Genomic DNA, 7268 nt, shown 5'->3' with positions numbered 1-7268 from the left:
GGCCAGAAAAGAGGCAGAATTGCGGATGAGGGCAGGCCCTCGGGTCCCCAGGCTAGGCCTAGCTCTGTCTTTGCTCAAGTTCAGACGACGGAGGCGCGGAGTCTCACAGACTGAGGCCCCATGCCCGGCAAGGGGACCACTCCGCACCAGGGGGCACCCAGCCTCTCCTCCGAGGCACACAGCCTTTTTCTTGTCCTAACCGGGGCCCTTCTGGGGATGCTGGGACTTGGCCTCCAGACAGGGGGTTTGTGGGGTGAAGGTCTCTTTCTGGGCTGGGAACCCGTGGCTCATGCCTGTAATCCAGCGCTTTGGGAGTCTGAGGTGGGAGGATGGCTTGAAGCTGGCTGGGCAACAAAGACCAGCCTGGGCAACAAAGGGAGACCCTGTCTCTAAAAAGTTTTAAAAATTAGCCAGGTGTAGTAGCTCACGTCTGTAGTCCTAGGTACTCAGGAGGCTGGGGTGGAGGATTGCTTGAGCCCAAGAGTTTGAGGCTGCAGTAAGTGTGATCACACCACCGCACTCCAGCTTGGGTGACAGAGAGAGAACCTGTCATAAATAAATGAATGAACGGATGAATGAATGAATTTCTGCTAGGTCCCTCGTGGAGCTTTCAAAGGCAGCTGACTCGTTCTGCCTGTTCCCCTTCCCCTCTGCCCCATGTGCCCCCACAGAAGTTCCAGATGCTTCTCAGTCCACCTCCCTTTGTGCCTGGGAAGGCTGCCCGTCAGAGAAGGGCCCCACAGCCCCATCAAATGAGGCACAGTTCTTGGGACATCCCTTTTGCTCTTCCACTCCAAACCTTTGCAAGGGCTATTTTCCCTCCCTGAAATGCTCTCCTTCCTCCTCTCTGCCCAGCCAAAATGCTCCCCAGCTACAGTGTCACCTCCCTAGGCTTGCTGCCTTTCTTCTCAGAGCCACTGCCCCAGAGGGCCTCCTTAATGAGGTCAGGCATGGTGAGTGCGCTGCACCAACAATTCTGGATACCAAGCCAACATGGTATCCAATCAGCAGTCTCCACAGGCCGCCTCCCAGTGTGCGTCTATGTGTGTCCGTCTGTGCATCTGTTGGTGTGTTTGTGTCTGTGCTTAAGTGTGTCTTTGTATGTGTAAGACTTTGCTTATATGTCTGTTCATGTGTGAGTGTGTTTCTTGGATTGTCTGACTGTGTCTGTGTGTGCGCTAGTGTGTGACTGTGTTTCTGTATTACGTGTGTGTGTTGCTGCATCTTGTGTCTTTGTGTCTGTGTGTAACAGGGGTCCTTGGTTGGGGCCTGCAGGCCTGCACCTCGTTTGAGGCTGAGCAGAGCCAGGAGGGATTGGAGTGTGTGTCTGCTGTGCATGTCCTGGGGTCTGCAGGGTCTGGCCCCTCACACTCATGCCTGCCCCTTTTTTCTTTTTCCCTTCCACCTGGTTTCCCTGTCCCCAACTCCAGCTCCAAAGATGGGCTCGTCTCTGAGGGCCACGGCAGCAGGCTCTGAGCAGGGGTGAAGACTCATGGGGGGCGTATCCCCTGTCCTCAGTGCCAGCGCCCTCCAAACCTTCCTGTTTGGAAGCTCCCTCCTTCCCCCACCCCCACATTTCGGCCCCCCTCAGTCTGATGAGGGAGTCACAGACCCCACCCTTGGGCCGCATCCAGTCTGACATGAGAGAAGGATAGCAAATAGCCCCAGTGAGCCCACATTCCACACTAGAGGAAGCTCGATTCAATTGTCCAGGTGGGCATGGATGAGGGTCCTCAGAGTCCCTGCCCTCTACCTCTCTGTGCCCTCCCGTCTCCCTCCTGCTCCTCTCCAGCATGGTTGTGGGCCCACCCACTGACCTCACCAGCTTCCTGCATCTCCCTGGGTGGGGTAGCACGAGGAAGAATCAGCCTCTGAGTAGGTCCTCCCCAGGAGCAGCCTCTCCCCAGGCCCGCTGTTTTCCTCTGGACTGTGGTCAGGGATTTCCCCTCTCATGAGATGCCCTTCCTCTCAGCCCTGCCCCCAGTCCATCTCTATCTGCAACCAGAGGTGACTTTCAAAGGCACAACTCTGGGGCCATCCCATCACCACTCCTATACTCTCCGTGGCTCCCCATGACCCAGAGAAGAGCCAAGGCGTGGACTGCCCTTGGCTGACCTCCCAAACTCTTTTTCCAGCCCCTAGCCTCCAACCCCATGTCCAGCCCCTTGGGCACGTCCTGCCTTCTGTGCTTCTGAACCTTCCACCTAGGCCAGCCCCAGCCCTGAGCTGCTTGTCCACATCCATCCCTACCTCAGGCGGTTGGGGAGAAAGGGGTCCCTTAGACCCTTGTGTGGGTGCTGTGTCTGCTTGGGGAGTCCCCTGGCCCCAGGTCCCCTCCATGGGGATTTCAAGACTTCCTGGGTTTGGAAGGCAGGAGCAGGGCCCTCTTTCCAAGTACCCACAGCTTGGCCCGATGTGGCAGACCAGCAGGCAGTTTTAGGGCAGAGGGTGAAGTTTGTTTCTAAGACATGTCATCCCCCACCTCAGCCTGTTAGCACTGAGGGGCTGTGGAGAGAACTTTGCATGTCCCCCCCTTGCCCCCGGACTCCTGCCCAAGCCTGGCTGCTTGTTCTCCAGAGCTTAGCACACATGCATGTGCGCACACACACACATTCGCACACACATGCATGCACACACATGCACACACACTTGCATGCACACACATGCATGCACCCACACACTCATGCACACACAATGGAGAGGGCATGTGCCTCCACCACCTGCCTCAGGAGGGACGGGAGGGTGGGCGAGGTTTTCTTCACCAGTGGGCCTTGTTGACTGAACCTCAGGTGTGCTGGTGCCCCACTGGGTCCCCTACCCTGACACTTCAGTTACCCTCACCACAACCATGGTGGGGAAGGACTCTTCACCCTCTTTCTACAGATGAGAAAGCTGAAGCTTAGAGAGAACAGGTCACTGCCCCATGCAGACCCCGTGGGCCGGTGCTCTTGCCTGTGCCACAGCTCAGGAGGCTGGGCCAGAAGCATGGTACCTGAGCACCCAGGGGTGGCTCCCAGCTGGTCACCCGGGCCCACCTGCTTATTCATGGGGATAGGAGGTGGGCAGCTCCTGGGCCACCCCTGTCTCTAGTGTCCCTCTACCCCAGTGCTGAGGGGTGAGCTTCCTTCCAGGAATTCCTCTGCCTGCCCCACCCAGCTGAACTTCCTCCAGGTGGCCAATTGCCTCAGGCTGCATCATCTTCCTCCCTGGAAATGGGACTGTGAGAGGCTGAGCTGCTCCCAGTTGCCTGCAGGAGCCTGGTGGCCCAGGGTTCAAGGCTCAGCCTTGGTGGCTCCCTGCTGTTGCTGCTCTGTCAACAGCTGGTTCCTCCTCCTTCATAAAAAGAAAGCCTTGAGGTCCCACCTTCCTGCTGAACCTCCCCAATACCCTGTCCCAAATGGCACCCAAAGCCAGGTCCAGCCAGGATTGGACCTACCTCCCACACCTCTGTACTGACCCCCCCACTTTTGGCTTCGTCTCCCAGTGTGATGTGAGGGTTCCCAGCAGACAGGTGGAGACTTCTTGGAGGAGGTGGCTCTGGATCTGAGCCTGAGGGGTGGCTGAGAGTATACCACATGGAGGAGCGGGAAGGGCACTCCTGGTGGAGGAGATGGTACAGACAAAAGTGCAAAGGGTGGCACGGGCAGGAGGCAGAGTGGAGCCGATGTGCTTGGTGGCCAGCCGGTTGAAGGGCTGGGTGACTTTGCCCCTGGTGCTTTCAGTAGAGACCTGCCCTTGTGTCCTACTCTGCTGACATTCTGTCCCCTTGGACAAGAACTCTCAGCTGCATTTGCTCCACCTGGACATCTTCTGTTTGGGGTTTTCAGTGTTTCCTCCAGACCAGCTGGAAATTCAGCTTCCTTGTACAATTCTCTCTGCTCACCCTTGACTGAGCTTGGGTGAGACCTCCCCTTGCCAGTGAGCCCACCCCACAGAATTGCCCCTCTGCTAGGGTATGGGGTACAGAAAAGGAACAAGACTAAGGGAAAGGAAATGTTAGGGGGAGATGCTCTTTTTATTTCAGCCACATCAAGCATGAGGAGGTTGTGGGGCTGCAGTGTAGCCAATGCTGGTTATCCTCCCCCAACCCAGTCTATTCTCATTTTCCTAAGAACAGAGCGCTCTCTTTTTAGTCATGCATACGGTAACCCAGCAGAAACAGTATATTTCCCAGCCTTTCTTGCTTCTAGGTGTTGCCACGTGACTAAGCCTGGCTAATGAGATATAAACGGAATTGTTATTTAGCATCTTCCAGGAACCTTCCTTGAAACAGCTGGAGGGCGCCTGTGGTTCCTCCTTCCTCAGCCTGTTCTTCTCCATTCTGTTGCCTGGAATGTCAGTGGGAGGACTGGTCCTTCAGTCACCACTTTGGACAGTGTGGTTGAGGGACACACCCTGGAGATAGCAGAGGGGCAGCCTGCAAGGAGGCGGAGCCCCCCAGCAGTATCCCTATTCCAGCCTAGGGCTGTGTACTTCCAGACTTTTCAGCACAAGAAAAAGAAAGTCTTTTGTTTAGGACTCTGAATTTTCAGTCTCTGTTAGTCACAGCAGAATATAATCCTATCTGATTCGATCCCACAGAGAAAATGTTGACTAGGCAATTAGTAGATGGGTCTGGAGCTCAGAGTGGAGTTTGGGATTGCGGGTAGAAATTTGGCAGTCGATCTCCTGGAGGTGGAAATTGAAGACACGAGGACGATGAGCTCACCCAGGCGGAGCGTGTGGTGTGAAAGAGAAGGGAAGGGAAGAGAGGGAAAGAGATGAGCCTGCTTCCCTCTGCCCACTGCCCCCATCTTTCCACAAAAGAGGATTCTGGCTTTGTGTGCTCAATTTCATCCACCCCCTTCCAATATCATAAGAGGAGGCTTCTGCCTCCCCAGAACTCTGCTTGGTTTTTATGATGCAGAATCAAAATGGAGTGGGTTTGAGGGGAGGACAAGAAGTGGATAGATAGGTTGGGGGAAGGTTTTTTTGAGTTTTTAAGGAGAAAACGGTAAAAGCAGCTATGGTGTGTGGTAAAGCAGATAGGAGAAGAAAAGGAAGGGGCTTGAGAATGTGTTGCCATTTAGTATGAGTATCCTTTTGACAGTATGTCAGAAAACATGCAAGCCAGGCAGGGTGCAGTGGCTCACGCCTGTAATCCCAGCACTTTGGGATGCCGAGTCAGGTGGATCACAAGGTCAGGAGATCGAGACCATCCTGGCCAACATGGTGAAACCCCGTCTCTACTAAAAATACAAAAATTAGCTGGGCATGGTGGTGTGCGCCTGTATTCCCAGCTACTCAGGAGGCGGAGGCAGGAGAATTGCTTGAGCCCAGGAGGCAGAGGTTGCAGTGAGCCAAGATCGCGCCACTGCACTCCAGCCTGGGTGGCAGAGCAAGACTCCGTCTCAAAAAAAAAGAAAAGAAAACACACAAGCCAGATGTCGTGGCACACACCTGTAGTCCCAGCTAGGAAGGAGGCTGAGGTGGAAGGATCGCCTGAGCCCAGGAGGTTGAGGCTACAGTGAGCTGTGACTGTGCCACTGCACTCCAGCCTGGGTGACATAGGGAGGCTCTGACTCTAAAATAAATTAATTAAATAGAAAAAAAAGAAAAGAAAAGAAAACACACAGAACTTGACATTTGTTGCAGCTGTCTTTTTTTTTTTTTTTTTTTGAGACAGAGTTTTGCTCTTTCACCCAGGCTGGAGTGAAGTGGCATGATCCCGGCTCACTGCCACCTCTGCCCCCTGGGTTCAAGCAATTCTCCTGCCTCAACCTCCCAAGTAGCTGGGATTATAGGCGCTCGCCACCACACCCGGCTAATTTTTATATTTTTAGTGGAGAGGGGGTTTCGCCATGTTGGCCATGCTGGTCTCGAACTCCTGACCTCAGGTGATCCACCCACCTCGGCCTCCCAAAATGCTAGGATTACAGGCATGAGCCACTGTGCTTGGCTGCAGCTGTCTTTTGGCTGCTGTCTTCTCATAACACCACTCTGAGACAGGTCCACTTGGTTAATGATGTTAGTTAAATGTTCCACAAGTAACAAAAACTCATTAGAGCACATGAAGGAAAGGAGAAGTTGATGTCAAGGATCCAGGGTTTGTATGTAGGGGCAGGTGGGGACATCTGGGCTTCCTGAGGGCTGGGAACAGGGAATTGAACATATGCCAGGAGCCTGGGAGCTGCCACCATGACCACTTTCCTCTCCCTGTTGTTCATGGACTCTCCTCTGTCCTGCTCTCCTGCTAACTTCATCTTCTCTTGCTGCAGATTGCCTTTTAAAATTTTATTGTATTTTTATTTATTTATTTTAGAGACAGAGTCTCACTCTGTCACCCAGGCTGGAGTGCAGTGGCACCATCATAGCACACTACAGCCTCGAACTCCTGGGCTCAAGAGATACACCCTGCTCAGCCTTCTCCCATGGTGCTGGGATTACAGGCGTGAGCCACTGCCCCAGCCAGACTGCCTTTTAAAAATGGACATTTTAGACCAGGCATGTGGTTCAACCCTGTAATCCCAGCACTTTGAAAGGCTGAGGCGGGCGGATCACCTGAGGTCAGGAGTTCTTGACCAGCCTGGCCAACATGGCGAAACCCCATCTCTACTAAAAATACAAACATTAGCCAGGCGTGGTGGCGCATGCCTGTAGTCCCAGCTACTTGGGAGGCTGAGGTGGGAGAATTGATTGAACCTGGGAGGTAGAGGCAGGAGAATCGCTTGAACTAAGGAGGCAGAGGTTGCAGTGAGCAGAGATTGTGCCACTGCACTCCAGCCTGGGTGACAGAGCAAGATTCCCTCTCAAAAAAAAAAAAAAAATTGACTTTTTATTTTATTTTTATTGTTTTCTAAGAGACTTTATTTAAAAAAAAAGTTTTAGATTTATAAAATTATTGAGCTGTAGTACAGAGTTCCCATGTATCCCCTCCCTCACACGCAGTTTCCCCATTATTAACATCTTGGATTAGTGTGGTACATTGTTAAAATTAATGAACTAATATCAATACATTGTTGACTAAAGCACATAGTTTACATTAAGAATCACTCTTTGTGTTGTACTTTCTATGGGTTTTGACAAAAGCATATCATGGATCCACCATTATAGTATCATATAGAATAATATCACTGACCTAAAATTCCCGTGCTCCACCTATTCATCCTTTCCTGTCCCCAGAACCCCCGGCAACCCTTGATCTTTTTACTGTCTGTAGTTTTGCCTTTTCCAGAAAGTCAAATAGTTGAAATCACACAGCACGTAGCCTTTTCAGACTGGCTTCTTTC

Source organism: Homo sapiens, chromosome 20, assembly GCF_000001405.40.
Source record: "Homo sapiens chromosome 20, GRCh38.p14 Primary Assembly".
In the NCBI taxonomy this organism is placed as follows: Eukaryota; Metazoa; Chordata; class Mammalia; order Primates; family Hominidae; genus Homo; species Homo sapiens.
The sequence above is the reverse complement of the archived record's forward strand: the minus strand, read 5'-3'. Positions refer to the sequence as shown.